This window comes from Homo sapiens, chromosome 1 (genome assembly GCF_000001405.40).
Source record: "Homo sapiens chromosome 1, GRCh38.p14 Primary Assembly".
NCBI lineage: Eukaryota > Metazoa > Chordata > Mammalia > Primates > Hominidae > Homo > Homo sapiens.
The window spans coordinates 149,843,769-149,862,318 of NC_000001.11; the positions used below are offsets into that span (position 1 = coordinate 149,843,769).

At 47.2% G+C, this 18,550-nt stretch overlaps 3 protein-coding genes and 1 pseudogene across 12 annotated transcripts, besides 4 other annotated features; 2 read left to right on the plus strand and 2 right to left on the minus strand.

Annotated features, from left to right (window-relative positions):
- Positions 1-719: 719 nt before the first annotated feature.
- Positions 720-17,472, minus strand: H4C15 (H4 clustered histone 15). Of its 9 annotated transcripts, none has more exons than XM_047424442.1 (3): positions 16,934-17,391; positions 15,344-15,913; positions 720-10,449 (listed from the first exon to the last, which is right to left on the minus strand). In XM_047424442.1, the coding sequence occupies exon 1, from the start codon at positions 17,361-17,363 to the stop codon at positions 17,052-17,054; it is 312 nt and encodes a 103-aa protein (XP_047280398.1). In that variant the 5' UTR covers positions 17,364-17,391; the 3' UTR covers positions 720-10,449; positions 15,344-15,913; positions 16,934-17,051. The 9 variants fall into 9 exon arrangements, 6 of the variants coding, with proteins under 6 accessions (XP_047280398.1, XP_047280395.1, XP_047280390.1 ...); XM_047424439.1 differs by having other exon boundaries at positions 14,950-15,913; XM_047424434.1 differs by having other exon boundaries at positions 16,184-17,391.
- Positions 1,557-2,320: an enhancer, noted in NCBI's record as "OCT4-NANOG hESC enhancer chr1:149816892-149817655 (GRCh37/hg19 assembly coordinates)". NCBI's record gives its function as "activates a minimal SCP1, AML or CMV promoter by ChIP-STARR-seq in naive and primed H9 embryonic stem cells {active_cell/tissue: H9 hESC(naive and primed)}" and the evidence as "EXISTENCE:reporter gene assay evidence [ECO:0000049][PMID:30033119]".
- Positions 6,424-7,005, minus strand: H2BC20P (H2B clustered histone 20, pseudogene; annotated as a pseudogene). Its single transcript, NR_036461.1, has one exon. The product of NR_036461.1 is annotated as a H2B clustered histone 20, pseudogene (transcript).
- On the plus strand, positions 7,293-7,826 carry H2AC19 (H2A clustered histone 19). Its single transcript, NM_001040874.1, has one exon. The coding sequence runs from the start codon at positions 7,346-7,348 to the stop codon at positions 7,736-7,738; it is 393 nt and encodes a 130-aa protein (NP_001035807.1). The 5' UTR covers positions 7,293-7,345; the 3' UTR covers positions 7,739-7,826.
- Positions 7,356-8,038: an enhancer, noted in NCBI's record as "OCT4-NANOG-H3K27ac-H3K4me1 hESC enhancer chr1:149822691-149823368 (GRCh37/hg19 assembly coordinates)". NCBI's record gives its function as "activates a minimal SCP1, AML or CMV promoter by ChIP-STARR-seq in naive H9 embryonic stem cells {active_cell/tissue: H9 hESC(naive)}" and the evidence as "EXISTENCE:reporter gene assay evidence [ECO:0000049][PMID:30033119]".
- Positions 8,718-9,395: an enhancer, noted in NCBI's record as "NANOG-H3K27ac-H3K4me1 hESC enhancer chr1:149824048-149824725 (GRCh37/hg19 assembly coordinates)". NCBI's record gives its function as "activates a minimal SCP1, AML or CMV promoter by ChIP-STARR-seq in primed H9 embryonic stem cells {active_cell/tissue: H9 hESC(primed)}" and the evidence as "EXISTENCE:reporter gene assay evidence [ECO:0000049][PMID:30033119]".
- H3C15 (H3 clustered histone 15) lies at positions 8,840-9,357 on the plus strand. The gene has a single exon (NM_001005464.3). It carries the CDS (start codon positions 8,887-8,889, stop codon positions 9,295-9,297), a length of 411 nt encoding a protein of 136 aa, NP_001005464.1. The 5' UTR covers positions 8,840-8,886; the 3' UTR covers positions 9,298-9,357.
- Positions 9,396-10,074: an enhancer, noted in NCBI's record as "NANOG-H3K27ac-H3K4me1 hESC enhancer chr1:149824726-149825404 (GRCh37/hg19 assembly coordinates)". NCBI's record gives its function as "activates a minimal SCP1, AML or CMV promoter by ChIP-STARR-seq in primed H9 embryonic stem cells {active_cell/tissue: H9 hESC(primed)}" and the evidence as "EXISTENCE:reporter gene assay evidence [ECO:0000049][PMID:30033119]".
- Positions 17,473-18,550: the final 1,078 nt, after the last annotated feature.

Below are 18,550 nucleotides of genomic sequence, written 5' to 3' on the forward strand. Positions count from 1 at the left end.
TTAACTGCATATTGAGCTCGCAAAATTGTGTAGTAACCTGAAAATATTCCTAATAGTTTTGCGACCAAGCCTCACCATATAAACTTTCCTTCCGCACCTGTAGACCTCCATTCTGTGGTTGAAGCAATTTTTGGTTTATATAGCTCTCTTGTCTCAATTTGGTATTCCTTTCAGGTACTGTGAGTCTATAGGTATTTATTTCTGGGTTTCAAGACGTTAAATGCCATCAGAATTGAGTAATGCAAAGGCTGCTGTCATGGATAGTAAAGCTTTTTAGTCAAGTGCTGATAGACAATTCCCCATTGTTATCGTTGGGTATTTTACAATTTTCTGGGCAAGAAATGTAATGAAAAATTAAGTAAGTTTTAAAGGCCTTCGTCTTTGAGACTGGATACCTAAAACAATAGTGTTTCCTAAACAGTTAAAACTTATTTAACCCTGAAGCTTTCGAGACACACAAATATATACAAATATATATTGTATATTTCTTAAACCCCACATAGTTCCACTGATCTAAATCACTGGGGGCGAGAGGCAAGGATAGACAATCTATGACACAACACCAGGTGATTCATAAGTTTGGTAACCACTGACATTTGATTATGCAGTTGCCATATTCCTTAGTAAGAACCTGGTCACAATTTTCACTCACTACCCCAGGCAATTCCCCCTCCCCACACCCCCCTTTTTTCTGAGAATTTCAGTGAGATATACAAAAGTTTCATTTAATCCTTTATTAATTCCAGACTTTATATATTTTTATTAGGATTTAAAATACATTTCAAAAAGATCAAGTGAGAACAGAAGATAAAAGTACCAAGATAAAGGCATAATACAAACTTAGAAAATACATGTTAAGCATACTGCGGCGTCCTGGTAGCCCCTTGCTTTTGTTCACTTTTTTCTCTTATGTACCTACATAAAATCCCAAATAGTATCTTCCAGGATGACACACTTGCTGTCTGCCCCACCCAATTAAAAACAGATTTTTTAGTTATTAGGTATTGTGCTGAATCTACCTTATTTTATTGCCAAAAGAAAAAAAAAAAAAAGCTTTTCAAAGCTTCATCCCCAGGAAACATTTTCCTGCTTTTACACATACCTTATATGGCTCTACTGAGAGATAAGGCCTAAGCCTGAAAAGTTAATTTAAAGCATGGAGGTAGGGGTGAGACAGAAAGACAACAGGGAAAAGTTGAGTTTATAAGGTAAGTATATATCTTCCTTTTAACAGCCACCTGCATGGCGTTCGGTAAATAACCTAATTATATGTGGGGGAAGGTAGTGGTCAACATTTGGTCCTGGGGACTGAGAATAAGAGCAGGAAAGCAATAAACAGCTAACTATGAGAGTGACTTAATGTAATTATATTACCTGTCAATCGCTACTTTTCCTTTCTTACCAAAATTCACACAGGTATGAAAGCAATATGACATTCAGGCTCCATTATGTGTATTTGTGCACATCACTTCCCACGATAAGGGAGAAGAAAAGAAACCACTGCACATTCGGATAAAACATGCTGGGAATACAGCAGTAAACAGAATAGAAAAAGTCTACATTTTAATTAGCAGATAAGTAAAAATAAGTGACTAAATGTATATTATTCAGGGGGCCATATGTGCAATTGCTGTTAAGTAAAGCAGAACATGGAGTGGAGTAGGGATGACAGGTTTCATCAGTTAATACTTGAGCAGAGAGCTGAATACAGTAAGATAGTTGTAGGATATCTTGAGGCAGAGTATTCTCAGAACAGAACATGGTAAGTACAAAGGCCCCAAGGCAGGAACAAGCTTGGTGAATGTGAGAAATATGCAAGCTGGTTAATGTGGCTGAAGCACAGTGACCAAGGGAAAGTTTTACAGAGATCACGGAGGTGCTTGAGGGCTGGATTATGTAGGCCATTAAGGAGCATCACAGGCCACTGCAGAGATTTTGTCTTTTAAATGAGATAGAGTGCTCTTGGAGAATGTGACTGGAGAGGCCGATGGTAGCAGTGGAGATGCAGAGTAGTAGCCGAGATATTTTAAATGAAATTGATTTAGTATAGGCTGACTGAAAGAGAAATCAAGGATTAATTGTAGGTTTTTACACTGAGCACTTGAAAAGAGCTGCTATTTGCTGATATGAGTAAGGAGTAGTCTTGGAGGAAGAAAACCAAGAGTACTGTTTTGAACAAAATGTTGAAGACTCCTGGTAAATATCGAAGTGTAAATATCAAATAGGAAGTCAGAAATATGAGAATCTGGAGTTTAGGAAAGAGAAGGGGGTTAGGTTTGTAAGATCTCATATCAGTCTGATTCTTATTTTTTTGTAGATAATCTACCCTTTCTTTCTGTAAATGTTTAGAAGCATGATGTCTATGTGTGTATATATACACACACACTCACTCCCCCCCGCCAGGACTGCCTCAGTTTTCATCTCAGTATTTGACTAAAACCTTCTATTCAACTTCAGTTTCAGCCTTAGAATAACCAGATGTCTAAGTCAATGTCATTTGGGGCATCTCTAGACTTGTGCAATCACAAAAGTCACCATTACCGCTACATAGTACGTATTATGACCAATGGATATCATTCAGAGTTCTAGTTTACATATGCTATTATCAAACATATGTAAGCCTTTTAATGTAACTTGGGAGTGAAATTAGTAAAATTCTATCAATTTACATAAATTAATTTTACTGTAAAAATAAAATACATTATGAAAGTTTCTGTACTAATGTCTTTGATTACAATTTTTAAAGTATTTCCCATTTTTTTATTTTGAAAATTTTAAACCTACAGAAAAGTTGGAAAAAAAAGTACAAAGACCAGCCATAGTCCCTTCACCTGGATTCACCAATTATTACAATTTTGCTGCATTTGCCTTATCTTTGTCTTCTCATGTACACAGACAGCCTCTGAACCATTTGAAAATAAACTGCAAATATGTTGGCACTTCTCCCTAAATATGGTGGCATGTCTCTTAAAAATAGGATATTCTCCTAAATAGCTACAATCACATTATTACACCTAACAAATTTAATGCTGATTCAGTAATATTAATATGCAATCCATATTCAAATTTCTCCAATTATTGAAAAAATTCTATATAGATGTTGTATTAGTTTCTTGTGGCTGCTGCAACAAATTACTACAAACTCAATGGTTTTAAAACAACAGTCATTCTCTTACAGTTTTGGAGGTCTGAAGTACAAAATCAATTTTACTCGGTAGAAATCAAGGCTGCACTCCCTCCAGAGACCTTAAGGGAGGGTCTATTTCCATGCCTTTTCCAGCTTCTAGAGGTTTATTTCTGGTTTATGGTCCCTTCCCTCTGTCTTCAAAGCAAGCAGCCTATTAATCTTCAAATCCCTCTCTCCTTCTATCGCCTCCTTCTACACTTGACTTTCTTGCCTCTCCTATAAGGACTGTGGTGATTACATTTGGGGCCTACCTGGATAATCTGGCATAATCTCTCAATCTCAGAATCACATCTGCAAAATCCTCTTGGCTATATAAGGTAATATTCACAGGCTGTAGGGATTAGGATATGGACATATTTGGGAGCCACATTTAGCCTGCCACAGCCATTGACTACTGTTATGGGTTGAGTTGTGTCCCCCCGAAAGATATGTTGAAGTCTAACCCCTAGTTGCTTAGAATTTTGCCTTCTTTGGAAACAGGGTCTTTACAGAGGTAATCAAGTTAAAATGAGGTCTTTAGGGTGGGCCCTAATCCAGTATGACTGATACCCTTATAAGAAGACATGGAGACAGCCGGGTGCAGTGGCTCACATCTGTAATCCCAGCACTTTGGGAGGCCAAGGCAGGTGGATCACCTGAGGTCAGTTCGAGGCCAGCCTGACTAACATGATGAAACTCCATCTCTACCAAAAATACAAAATCAGCCGGGCGTGCTGACGCATGCCTGTAATCCCAGCTACTCGGGAGGCTGAGGCAGGAAAATTGCTTGAACCCGGGGCACAGAGGTTGCAGTAAGCCAAGATCATGCCACTGCACTCCAGCCTGGGCAACAAGAGTGAAACTCCATCTCAAGAAAGAAAGTAAAAAAACATGGAGACATACATGAAAAAACTGAGGTAGAGATTACAGTTATGCTGCCAGAAACCAAAGAACAAGTGGGGCTACCAGACACTGAAAGACAGGAGTCTTCCCCTAGTGGGTTTGGAGAGAGCATGGCCCTACCAACACGTTGATTTCAAACTTCTAGCCTCTAAAACCATGAAAGAATAACTTTGTGTTGTTTTACGCCATACAGTTTGTGGTACTTTGACAGCCCCAGGAAATTAGTACAACTACTAAAATTTTTTGATTTAGTTTATTTAAAATTTTTAAATAAAATTTCACATCTGAAAAAAAACCCTGGACATTTTTCCTGTGATGGTAATATTAGTCTTTAGCCTTAGTCAAGTATTAACATTTGGACATCTGTTCCAAATATGTAATTGGAGCAACTCTGTCCTAATTGACCCTATTTGACTTGAGACCTTTCATGAAAGGTCTTTCCTTTTATCTAGGAAATTATTATTCCTGAAATATTTCAAGATTCAAACTGGTATAAGTAAATATGTCAGACAAATTGGCTTAACTGGAAGTCCAAAGGTGCAGCAGGGATCCAAGGTTGGCTGAACTCCATGAGTGGCTCAGTTCCCTGATTCTCCCACACTGTGTCCTCCTCTGCATATTGTCTATAATCATTCTTGCCTTCATACCTAAAGACAGTCCATCCTCCTGCTGCCTCTTGAAAGCAAATAAGCTGCTTTCCCAAAAGATAATAGCATACTACACTCCCCTGCTGAGTTAGTTGTTACTCAGTTCACTTCCTGAAATGTTAAATGCCAATGAGTTTGATCTAGATTCCTGAACTAATCACAGTAAGAAGCAGGTTCAGACAGCAATTAAACTAATCAGGCCAACCCTAAGAACTGTGGGTAAAATGCGTTTCTGGGAAACACATGTGGCAGCACTATAACAGAAACAATTAGAAAAATAAATGCTACCTAGTCAATAACATACATTATAGGACTATGAACTACTAAGTTACACCTCATGACAAACACATGAGTAATAAAGTCTAGAAAAATACTTAAAGGTGATGTCCATCATTCTCATTGCTGTGTTCACAGTTCACAGGTAGACCCTAAAGACAGGCTTGTGTTGTCTTTACTGAACCCTAGATGCATCTCTCAAACTGTCAACTGCACATATCCACTTGAATAGCAAAGAGCTTCTCAAATTTCAGTCGGAACTCTGGATCTCCCTTCAGTGTCCCAACGAATATCTTCTCTCAGTGTTCTATCCTAATAGTACCACTATCTACACAGTTGCTCAAGCCAAAAATCTAGGGGTTTCACTGTTAGCTAAATCCTGTTCCTCAGCCACACCTATTAATTCTACCTCAAAGATAAAATCCAACATTTGTTTCCATTACCACCATTGCACTCCAGCATGTCATTTATCCGTTGTTTTTCACACTTTAGCATATATCACCATCACCCAGAAAGCTTAACACAAATAATGGAACCTGGGAATTTTCATTTTTAGTAACTTCAAGTAATGCTGATGCTGCTGGTCTGGAGAGACTTTAAGTCTTAATCACTGTTCCAGCCCACAACACTGCAACAGCCTCCTAATTGCTTTCCTCGCTTCTATTGTGGCCAGCCTAGGATTTACGATCCCCAGAGCAATCAGTATAATATTTTGAGGTTAATGAGGCTGTGTGATTCCAAGTCCAGTGTTCCCAAAGCAGAAAACAAACCTAATCAACCTCCCTTGCAAATTGGTGGTCCTTCTCCTCTTCAGGGATCCCAAACTCTGGCTTCAGAAATCGTATATTTTGTTGCTATTGTATGGAACAAACCCTTAAACTGGACAAGCTTTTCCGAGTGATAACTCTTGGGGAAAAAAACCATTTAATGGTATTGGGTAGATTTTAGGGTATCTCAACTAGAAAGCGCAGAAGGTTATCGGTGTTAACTCCTGGTTATCAAAATCGAACTTCCATCTACCTCCTTAAGGAATTTTCACATGAGTGGTGGTGTAGGCACGTGTTTGTGAACCAATGATATAAAAACCTCAGGTTTCTCGATACCATATATAAAAGTTGAGCTATTCCCTTTTAAGTACACATCTGAGAGCATACAATGCATTTAATCTCTACCTTCATTTTACCACTGAAGAGCGGACCCAACCTTTGTTCATATACACAATTTGATCTTACATAAACTTATCAAAATTAACACTGCGTTTCTCAACAGGAAACAATCTCCTGGGCACATATTCACGGGTACGTAACCAGGCCAAAGACAGTTCAAGAGCAGCCCTCTAAGGCAAGCCCCAACCTATCTATGCCATAGTAAGATACCACTATCAATCTATGTAAGCTTACTTATAGCAATGCCTATGTGAAAAGAAAATAGTTATCTGTGCTTGGTGTTGTGTGCTCTCCTAAAGTTAACCAGACGTGAAGCCAAAAACATCAACTGGGACTGACAACACAAGAAAGATTCTTTAACTGAGGTGGTTAAATGGCCCTGAAAAGAGCCTTTGGAGACAAAGCAGCCGGCGACCCGCGGAGGGAGGGAGGGAGGGAGCGAGCGAGCGCCAGGTCCCGGCAGGGACTCACTTGGAGCTGGCGTACTTGGTGACCGCCTTGGTGCCCTCGGACACGGCGTGCTTGGCCAGCTCGCCGGGCAGCAGCAGGCGCACGGCCGTCTGGATCTCCGGGACGTGATGGTGGAGCGCTTGTTGTAGTGCGCCAGGCGGGACGCCTCTCCCGCGATGCGCTCGAAGATGTCGTTGAGGAAGGAGTTCATGATGCCCATGGCCTTGCACCAGATGCCGGTGTCGGGGTGGACCCGCTTCAGCACCTTGTACACGTAGATGGAGTAGCTCTCCTTGCGGCTGCGCTTGCGCTTCTTGCCGTCTTTCTTCTGGGCTTTGGTGACGGCTTTCTTGGAGCCCTTCTTGGGAGCCGGCGCGAACTTTGCAGGCTCAGGCATGGCCAGACCCAAGACCGACACCGACCCCCGAGAACGCAAGCAGAGCGGTAGGCTCGGGGTCTACCGGAAACGACTGTGTACTTACAGAGGCTGTGCGCATGACGCTGCGTTATGGTTCGCGAGTTTTCCGCGGCGCGCAATGCGAGGGAGACGAGATTATGTAAATGAGTGGATTCTGGCTGAGCTATCCTATTGGCTATCGGGACAAAATTTGCTTGAGCCAATCAAAGTGCTCCGTGGACAATCGCCGTTCTGTCTATAAAAAGGTGAAGCAGCGGCGTTTTCGGCGACTTTCCCGATCGCCAGGCAGGAGTTTCTCTCGGTGACTACTATCGCTGTCATGTCTGGTCGTGGCAAGCAAGGAGGCAAGGCCCGCGCCAAGGCCAAGTCGCGCTCGTCCCGCGCTGGCCTTCAGTTCCCGGTAGGGCGAGTGCATCGCTTGCTGCGCAAAGGCAACTACGCGGAGCGAGTGGGGGCCGGCGCGCCCGTCTACATGGCTGCGGTCCTCGAGTATCTGACCGCCGAGATCCTGGAGCTGGCGGGCAACGCGGCTCGGGACAACAAGAAGACGCGCATCATCCCTCGTCACCTCCAGCTGGCCATCCGCAACGACGAGGAACTGAACAAGCTGCTGGGCAAAGTCACCATCGCCCAGGGCGGCGTCTTGCCTAACATCCAGGCCGTACTGCTCCCTAAGAAGACGGAGAGTCACCACAAGGCAAAGGGCAAGTGAGGCTGACGTCCGGCCCAAGTGGGCCCAGCCCGGCCCGCGTCTCGAAGGGGCACCTGTGAACTCAAAAGGCTCTTTTCAGAGCCACCCACGTTTTCAAATAAAAGAGTTGTTAATGCTGGCCACTCTCAGTCCAGCGTTCCTCAGTAGTGAATAGCGAACCTGGAGCTGACGGGACGGGACGGGACGGGACGGGACGGGACGGGGCGGGGCGGGGCGGGGTGTGTGTGTGTGCGCGCCGTCTTCCATCTGGAGCACGTAACTGCCTTGGCTCTTCGATGAGTGGGTCCCCAGTCCTAGGACTTCCCAGGGCAGGTGCAGGCACCAAACGTCCTGGGCGCCGCCACGGTCCGCTCCACACAGTCACAAACACCAGCGCCGCGGGCAGTACCCAACGCGCTGAAGTGTTGCGCGCGGAGCGCGCGCTTCCCTAGTGGTTTCCGCAGGCTATGGCCGGACACTTAGACCTAGTCTGGCACCAGCGGGACGTGCTCCTCGTCCCCACCCCCGATGGGGAGGGCCCTGAGCGGGTAGTGCTCGCTAGTGTGGCGGAGCTGGGTCTTGGCTTCACTGAGCTGACTTAAGTCTTAGTTTCTGTTTTGTTTTCCAAAGCGCCCTGGCGGCGGAGAGTAAGGGCCTCGGAGGCGGAATCTTGCGTCCTGGGGGCGGGCACCTCTCCCACCCAAAAGGCACCCGACAGGCGAAAAACGATCCGCCAAGTAGCAACTGGGGGCGGGGGGCAAATGGAAGAATGAGGTTCCACGCGGGAGCTGTAGGGCGCAGCAAGAAAGGGGGGGTATTGCGGGCAGTGTGTTCTAAGGAAGCGAAGGGCGGAAAGGGAACAATCTGACAAAGCTGCAATGGAAAATGACTTTCACCCTGAAGGAAAGGGGAAAAACAAGCTTGCGAAACTTCGCCAACTGGTAAGTAGAAAGTGAGGCGGGGTGGGCGGGATTAGGGAGGAATCTGCCCAAGCCAACCGGTGACTTTAGGACGGGTGACGTCACAGCCAATGGACAGCCAGCGCGGGATTTTCAATTATTGTTCCGCCCAATCGGGAAAAGACTGTGCTTATAAAGACGGCTGCGGCGGGGCTAGGAGCTCGTTTTTCTCCCCGCCGCTGCGCTGGTAAGCCTGTGTTTTGGTTCGCTATGGCCCGTACTAAGCAGACTGCTCGCAAGTCGACCGGCGGCAAGGCCCCGAGGAAGCAGCTGGCCACCAAGGCGGCCCGCAAGAGCGCGCCGGCCACGGGCGGGGTGAAGAAGCCGCACCGCTACCGGCCCGGCACCGTAGCCCTGCGGGAGATCCGGCGCTACCAGAAGTCCACGGAGCTGCTGATCCGCAAGCTGCCCTTCCAGCGGCTGGTACGCGAGATCGCGCAGGACTTTAAGACGGACCTGCGCTTCCAGAGCTCGGCCGTGATGGCGCTGCAGGAGGCCAGCGAGGCCTACCTGGTGGGGCTGTTCGAAGACACGAACCTGTGCGCCATCCACGCCAAGCGCGTGACCATTATGCCCAAGGACATCCAGCTGGCCCGCCGCATCCGTGGAGAGCGGGCTTAAGAAGTGGCGGTTCGGCCGGAGGTTCCATCGTATCCAAAAGGCTCTTTTCAGAGCCACCCACATCAGCACTTGGAAGAAGCTGTACCGCTTGCCCTCCGTGCTCCTCCGGCATTAGAGCGGGGAAGGCACTTCCGCTTAGGCTCCCAACAAAACGGGGTCGGGTCCCCCTGCTGCGGTGCCGTCTTGAGCTTTGCCGACTTCGGCCAATTGGCCTATCCGCACTGGCCGGGCTGCGGACGCTTTCCTGGGCGCCGGCTCGCGGGCTTTGGCGGTCCGGCTCCCCCCGCGCGTGACCGGGGCCCTGCGTGGCGGGGGGGCCGGGGCAGGAGAGACGGGGCGTCGGGCACGAGGCCAGGGGTCACTAGGGGGACGCTCAGGGCTCGCGGTCCTGAGCGCGGCTGGCCTTTGCGGAAGTGGAGCGCCACACGCCCGTGCTTCGCGCCCAAACCGGCCTCACCCGGCGCGGCCATCCGGCTAGGGAGGGAAATGACCACCTCGGCCTCGCCGGGGTTCTGCGGACAAACGTGGGGAGAACTGCGCTGGGGCTGCCGTTCAGTCCCCGCGCCACCTCCACTAGCACAGTGGTAACCCCCATATCCTGCCCCTAAGCCAAAATTCCCGGGGGCACGGGGTGTGGGCGGAATTTTGTGAATCTGGGCTTTATCGAGCCGTTCCCTGTCCATGTCCACAGAAGGAGATTCACTATTCCAGTGAAGGCACTCGGTCCTCTTAGAAGCTGCATGGTATGTCTGGATTTTCTGTCCAGACTCAGTAGTTCCTTTACGTTGTTTTCGTCGGACATGTGGGCAGACGCTGGTGCCCGAGTTCAGATCCTTGGGAAGACAGTAGATCAGACAGGAAGAACGTGGGCCTCCGTTGGGCAAATGAAGCTCTTCGCCTTAGGAAATCGTGACAGGAGGCCACAGAGGTGATCTCTACAGTCTCTGGGAGCTGGGAAGTCCAAGGCCTCTTAGTGGGAAAGTGAGGCAGGGTCTTGCAGAGCCCACTCTACACACGGCCAGATACAAATGGCTGTAGAGGTCTTAGATAACACCTTCTCGGTCATTTATTTGCACCTCAGAAGAAGCCAGGGCTTCGGTTTTCTGTTTGTTTCATCACAGTTGACAGGTTAAAAGCATTCACTGCAGCGATCTATGAGAATTAAGAGGGGAGAAGGGGAAATGGAATAAAACTTCGTTTTGTAAAGCTGCCATTTTGCCTTTCCTGAGGCGTGTTAAGCGAGGAGAGCAGCGTAGGTGAGCTCTGCTGGGGACTGCCACATGTTTCTGCTCCAGGGTCACAGCAATTTCTAGAGCATGCCTCTGGGTCTCTGCCGAGACCCTCGTAACCTGCTTAGGCCCACAATGTATGGGCGGTATTCTGACTTCAAAAAGTAGTGACTTTCAGAGGTGGGTGGGTCACTATCTCTGCACCCAGCTTCTCAGGCCCAGTAGTAACTGAGCAGAGACTGGAACCTGGGGATGTTGGTGTCAGACATCTAGGTCCTCTGACTGCCCCCACAAGGTCACACTCCTTTTACTCACCAGTCTGGGTACCTCTAAACTCCAGGAGGTCTCCCTGGCTGAATCTCAAAAGGAAAATTTCGTGGCATTTTTTATATCCAGTCAGGAATAGAATTCATTACATCTTGTGGTCCTGGCACTGTGAAGGCCTGCACTCACAGGAATCTGTCAGTCTTCGTATTTGTTTGCGAGACCAGCATAAGCTGAATTCATCAATACAAGATAACATTCTAAAATGTTAAGTTTTAACATTTAATCATTCCCTGTACTTAAATCATTGTCTACCCTCAGGTGAGAGTTAAAGGATAATTAAGGATAGGGTAAAGAAATACTCTTCCTCTGACTAGGCATTGTGGCTCACAGCTGTTAATCCCAGCACTTTGGGAGGCCAAGTCGGGCGGATTGCTTGAAGTCAAAGTTCCAGACCAGCTTGGGAAACATAGCGAGACCCTGTGTCTCTACCAAAAAAAAAAAAAAAGACAGAAAGAAAAATGAAAAAATTAGCCGGGGGTGGTGCCATTTGCCTGTGGTCCCAGCTACTCGGGAGGCTGAGGTGGGAGAATCGCTTAAGTCCGGGAGGCGGAGGCTGCTGTGAGCTGAGATTGTGCCACTGCACTCCAGTGTGGGTGACAGGGAGTGAGACCCTGTCTCGAAGAAAACCCACCTCTTCCTCTAATAACCAGCTTCTACGTGGCTACCTTGGTTGCCAGTAAGTCCACTCTGAATCTGTGGCTTTTATGAAGTGAAAAACGTGCTTTGTTCACATTTAATTCTGCCTTAGGCTAGTGGGGGACAGGTGTGTGTGTGTGTGTGTGTGTGTGTGTGTGTGTGTGTGTTTAGAGGGAAACTACGTGGTAAGAGACATGGCCACGTTTACACTGATTTTTCTTCCTTAGAAGAGGACTTGTCCCCTGGGTCCACTCTCCTGGTCACCCTTATCCTTCTCTAGGTCCCCATCTCAGTCTTCTCATGTCTTTCTCTTCCCCATCAATATTCCTGGTTTCCCCCATGCTGGCCTTGGCCATCTTCTTTTCTCCCTGCAACTCAAGTGAGATTGATTGCCTGCTTTCACTATTTCTGTCCCTTAGCTAAGCGCTCCCAAATTGCTATCTTCTGCTGAGACCCTATCCTGAGCTCTACACATTTTGTGTGTGTGTGTGTGTGTGTGTGTGTGTGTGTGAGAGAGAGAGAGAGAGAGAGAGAGAGGGAGATAGAGAGAGAAAGAGAAACAGGGTCTCACTCGTCCAGGCTGGAGTGCAGTAGCACAATCAAAGCTCACTGCAACCTTGGACTCCTGGGTTCAGGGGTCCTCCCACCTCAGCCATCTGAGTAGCTGGGACTACGGGCACACACCACCAGGCCCAGCTAATTTTTTTTATTTTTTGTAGAGTCAGGGTCTCACTTCATCGCCCAGGCTGGTCTTGAAGTCCTGGGCTCAAGCCCTCCTCCCACCTTGGCCTCCCAAAGTGCTGGGATTATAGACGTGAGCCACTGTGCCTGGCTACACCAATGTTTCTAACTGCCTGGTAGACAGGTCCTTCTGGATGGATACTAGGCACTTCAAACCCAGCTTATTTCCAAAACCACATGCCTCATCTTGCTTTCCAAGCCCATTTGTTTCTTTCCACATTCCCCATCTTCCTGGAAGACACCTTCATTAGCCCCATCTGTTCTGGTTGGGTGTCCCTTCCTCTTGTCCTCTGTCCAAATCTCATGAGTTCCAAATATTACTAAATCTGTCTTCTGACTTTCAATTGTATCACCTTTTCTCCGTCCACCCATGACCATGCCTTAACTGAAGTCCTCGCCAGCTCTGGTCTAGTAGATTACATAGTCAGGCTGGTCTTTCTGCCCTGCCATTGAGCTTCCACTCCGTATGACAGCTATCTTTTTTTTTTTTTTTTTTTTTATGAGACGGAGTCTCGCTCTGTCGCCCAGGCTGGAGTGCAGTGGCACGAGCTCGGCTCACTGCAACCTTGGCCTACCGGGTCCATGCGATTCTCCTGCCTCAGCCTCCGGAATAGCTGGGACTATAGGCGCCCACCACCACGTCCGGCTAATTTTTTGTAGTTTTGTATTTTTTGTATTTTGTGATCCGCCCGCCTCGGCCTCCCAAAGCGTTGGGATTACAGGCGTGAGCCACCGCGCCCGGCCAAGAGCTATCTTTTAAAAACTGAGGGTTTTTTGTTGGTTGGTTGGTTGGTTGGTGTTGCTGTTTTGAGCCTGTCACTTTCATGCTTAAAAATTTTCCACGACCTTCCCATTCCCTTCAGAATGAAGTTCACATTCTTTTGCATGGCAGTTCAGAGCACCGGAGGTTAATTACTAGGAAGGACTCTGGAGTTAGACAAACCCAAGTTTGATTCCTAGCCTTGTCCATGTAAACAGGTGCATGACTTCAGGAAGCAAATCTCAACAGGTTTAACTTTTCCCATTTGTAAAACAACGAGTAACTTGCTCGTTGTTTTGTTGGAAATCATGAAAGTGACAATTTCTGTAAATTGCGGTGCTCATGCCTGTAATCCCAGCGACTCAGGAGGCTGAGGCAAGAGGATTGCTTGAGGCCAGAAGTTCGAGGCTGTGGTGAGCTGTGACTGTGCCACTGCACTTCAGCCTCGGCAACAGCAGTGAGACCCCATGTCTAAAAAAACAAAGGACCTAGCACAGTAGTAGCACAGTATCTGGTCCAGAACAAGCACCCAATTAATTTGTGCTACTCTATTAATAGTTACTAATTTAAAAAAAAACTGAAAATATTATACATCTAGTTCTTTATGTTTCCCACAGCCTTCCCAGGTTTCAGATGTTCTTGCAGCTGAACAAGAATGTTTAGCCCCACACGACATCTGCAATCTCCAAGTACACAATATCTTCACACATTCCATTTCTGTCCAGAATGTCCTCCCCTTCTCTGTAACCCTGAGAACCCCCATTCTTCAAGATTCAGCCCTGTGAGCCTTCCCTTGCTCTTCTGGTTTTTTGTTTTTTCTTTTTCTTTCTTTTTTTTCTTTTCTTTTTTCTTTTTTTTTTTTTTTTTGAGATGGAGTCTTGCTCTGTCACCCAGGCTGGAGTGCAGTGGCGCGATCTCGGCTCACTCCAACCACCGTCTCCCGGGTTCATGCGATTCTCCTGCCTCAGCCTCCGGAGTAGCTGGGACTACAGGTGTGTGTCACCACGCCCAGCTAAGTTTTATATTTTTAGTAGAGACGGGGTTTCACCATGTTGGCCAGGATGGTCTCGATCTCTTGACCTCATGATCTGTCTGCTTTGGCCTCCGAAAGTGCTGGGATTATAGGCATGAACCACAGTGCCCGGCTCCCTTGCTCTTCTTTGCCCTCATCTCTTTGGGCCCTCCTCCTTGCCTCTGCCCTCTCCTATCTTAATACCCCTTCCCTTCCTTAACCTCAGCATTAGGCTGGCAACATTTCTCAGGGTAAGGATTTGTCTTTGTTTATTTCCATAGTAGCAGCAGTACCCAAGCAACGCCTGGTCACAGTAAGTCGAGTGAAACCATCTCTCAAAAAAACAAAACAAAACAAAACAAAAAACGAACTACATTGAGTGGGAAAGGCAATAAATATATCACCTTTGGTTTCTGTATCACTTCATGGCCTCATTCTTCTTTCACACAGAACTTTTCATTTGATCCTTAAAATAATCCTGTGAAAAAGGCAGGAATTCTCAGTAATTGGCCGGGCACCGTGGCTCATGCCAAAGAAAAAGAGGCCAGGCGCGGTGGCTCACGCCTGTAATCCCAGCATTTTGGGAGGCCGAGGAGGGTGGATCACCTAAAGCCAGGAGTTCGAGATCAGCCTGGCCAACATGGCAAAACCTCCATCTCTACTAAAAATACAAAAATTAGCCCGGCATGGTGGTGGGCACCTGTAGTCCCAGCTACCTGGGAGGCTGAGGCAGGAGAATCACTTGAACCCGGGAGGCGGGGATTGCGGTGAGCCAAGATCGTGCCACTGCATTCCAGCCTGTGTGACAGATCGAGACTCCATCTCAAAAAAAGAAAGAGGAAGGAAGGGAAGGAAGGGAAGGAAGAAAGGAAGGAAGGAAGGGAGGGAGGGAGGGAGGGAGGGAGGGAGGGAAAGAAAGAAGAAAAGAAAAAAAGAAAAGCTGTTACCTGCATCAGTGGCTTTCAACCTTTAATGTGTATCGGGAGGGCTTTTTTAAAGCACCGATTACTATGTCTCACCCCTCAGTTTCTCATTCAGTAGGTCTGGCATGGGTCCCAAGATTTTATCCGAGGTGATCAGTGCTGCTAGATGAGAGGCTACACTTTGAGAACCACTAATTCAGACAATGGACGTGTTTTCTCCCCCACTCCCTTTCTGCTTTATCTTCAAATTTTTGATCTCCTTCTTTAGTGGATCTTGGTGCGGATCAGATATATTCATCAGCATTGCCTTTAAAGTTAAAAACAATCAGTGATATTCGAAATAGCAATGCTGGAAATCACAGGTCAGATTTAAAAGGGAAAAGGAAACATCTTGAGCATTAAAACCTCTATTTCTCACCTGGACATCTTCACAAATGTTATTCTTGCCACTTCCTCCCTGCCCTCGCCCCCTTTACTATGTATCTCAGTAGGACGCCAATCATTCTGCTCTTTATTCAGAGTCCGACACAAGCCCCCACGTCCATAGCCAAGTTTTCCCCGGTTTCCCAGCAGCCAGTGACTTCTGTAGCATTAGGATTCTTATAGTAGTTATTGTCTACATTTCTCAGCAGATTGAATATGTACTGCCTCTTACTACTGGACTGTTTATTCTTAAATGTGTACAGTATGGATTTATGTCGTCTATATATTATGCATTTATTTGTCTTCTTCGTTGTGATGGTAAGCTCCTGGAGGGCAAGTCTTGCATCCACTGCTTTGCTGGCAACCCGACTGGTAAGCTTCTGGAAGGCAAGGCTTGCATCCAGTGCTTTGCTGGCAACCCGATTGCTAAGTACCGTGTTTTAAGCTTAGTTCAGTCTCAAGTGTTTGCAGCCACATCTGAAGACCAATAAAGCAACTGCTGGTTTATCCTTTGGGAGCTGACAGAATTTCTTCTCCCAAATACATACACAGTAAAATCATAAGCCTGGAATGAAGAAAAAAAAAATCTTACGGGCAATGCAATGGCTGCAAAACTATAAGGATTAGAAATGTGAACCCACATTTTAATCCAAATTAGGGCAATTTAGAGGTGGTAGCGTAAAGAATAGCTTGCTGTAATATACGCCATGCTGATACAGAATTGGCTTTTGGCCTTGTCAAAATTAAATTGTGCTTTCTGTATTGATGGTGGGCATGTTTCTGCAGGTCTCTCATTCTAAGCTACAACAGGCCCTAAGAGGTAGAAGTCACATACCTGAATTACCTGTGAAGTTGCTTTCAGATCATATCGTTGGTTCACTCTTACAGAAGGATCACTTTAAAATATCTCTGCATTTGTATCCTTGCAATGCCACAACTAAAAGACAGTTATCTCATAGGTCCTTGATTAAATTAGGAGGCTTTTTATTGAACACAAGAAATGATACTTTTCAGGCACTGGGCAGATAACTTGCTAGAAAGGCATTTTTTAACTGTGCTAAGATTGAGCTGAGTGCGTGGCTGGAGACACCACACAACACGGACCCTTGCTAAGGCATCTAGTCCACCCGCTTGTTATGTAGAGGGTGAAATGAAGCCCAAAACAGTCAATCGTGAACTCTAAGCCGATCAGGTGGGAAAGCCGGCATCTCTAGAATGAAAACCTAAGGCTGCTTCTCCCACTTTGCCTGAGCAAATATAGTGAGATTACACAGCAAGGCATGTGTAAATTGCCAGTGCCTATTTCTCAGAACCAGATTTGGTGATCGCAAAGACTGACGTGGCCCTCTAGGTGTGCCTATACTGCACCAGAAGAGCAAGCCGAGAAAGCAGTGCTCAAACCTAGAGCATTCAACCTTTCATACCGATAAAGGCTTTAAAAAAAAAAAAAAAAAAAAAAAAAGCCCAGGTAAGTGAAAAAGCCGCTTTCGGTCAACGACTTAAGTCTTTACGGCTGTGAGCGCTATGGGCCGCGGTAGCTTTCCGTTAACTTCAGATCCGATTGTCGCCCCACTGCCAAAGTTACCTTCCAACATCGTTACTGTTGCACTTTACGCAGTCAAGTGTCCAACTCCTCAGATGAGCAAGTGGTCGGCCCTAAAAAGGGCCTTTGGGATCGAAACGTGCAAAGCTGGAGCGGCGGCCTAGCCTCCGAAGCCGTACAGGGTGCGCCCCTGGCGCTTGAGCGCGTACACCACATCCATGGCTGTGACGGTCTTGCGCTTGGCGTGCTCGGTGTAGGTGACTGCGTCCCGAATCACATTCTCCAGGAACACCTTCAGCACACCGCGGGTCTCCTCGTAAATGAGGCCAGAGATCCGCTTAACGCCGCCACGCCGAGCTAGACGCCGAATGGCAGGCTTGGTGATGCCCTGAATGTTGTCTCTCAAGACCTTGCGGTGGCGCTTAGCGCCCCCTTTGCCTAAGCCTTTTCCGCCCTTTCCTCTGCCGGACATGACCGCTGGAGCCCGATAGACAGCTTCTGTCAAGGCGAGCACCGTCTTCCCCTGATATACAAGAGTATCGGACCAGATTGAAAACCGAAAGCGCGCCGGCGGGAAGCGTTCTCAATTGTCCCCGCCCTCTCGACATTTCGTCATTTCTTTTCTGTTTTCCTCTCCCTCCTCCTCCACTCTGCTCAGGTCCCTCTCACTCTTTTTTTTTTTTAACCGCTACGCCACAGTCCCCGGGAGAATTCAGATCCCAACCGGGGCTTCCGGATTCTGTAGTGGCTTTGGCCTGTGTCTGGTCTGAGGACGCCCGGAAGGCATTGCACTGAGGCTAAGGGAAAGGTCTCTGGAGGGAGCCTCAGGAAGAGCAAATGGAGGCCAGAGACTGGCAGGAGCGCGCCAGCGCAGGATTTAATCCCGACGAGCGGATTCAGAGCCGTGCTTATATAAAGCTTCAGGAAGCGCCGTTCCGACGATGAGGTCGACACGCGAGAGGCGACCTCAAGAGCGGCGGCGCCAGGGATCTGTGCGCCAAGGGAGGACGGGAGGGAGCAGGTTCGCCATAATTCCTGGCTCCAGGCTCTGTTTTGTTGGACCGAGCCACTGTATTTTAGCTCACACAGGAGAATTCTGGCCCTGGGAAAATTGGTCTCAGCATGCTGCCAAGCTTTCTCATGGACGTCAGCGAATCCCAACACACTGTCGGTCAAAGCCGTGCTGGAAGAAACAAAACAGTTCTCCCTCGGTAGAACTGAGAGGGGATTGGTCCAGGGCCCCCGCCGATACCAAAATCCAGGTTGCTCAAGTCTCTCATAGAAAGTGGCGTAGTATTTGCACATAACTATGCACATCCTCCCGTGTACTTTAAATAGTCTCTAAATTACTTCGTAACACCTAATCCAGTGTAAATGCTATGTAAGTAATTGTTATACTGTTTTTATTTTTACTATCTTTTGTTGTACTTTTTTTTAAAAAAGAAATTCATTTGTTTAATATTTTCGGTCTTGGGGAACCCGCGTATATGGAGGGCCTGCTACATAGAGAAGACTGAGGGATATTCTGTGCATCCGTTTCTACGGATCCTCTAAATCGGCCTTTGTTTTCAGCCAGGATTTAGTGCCCAGCTGTGTCCTTTGGAGGCCCCACATGGAGCTAGCAAAGTTTGCTAAATCGGGTTTTGCAAGAGGACTGTC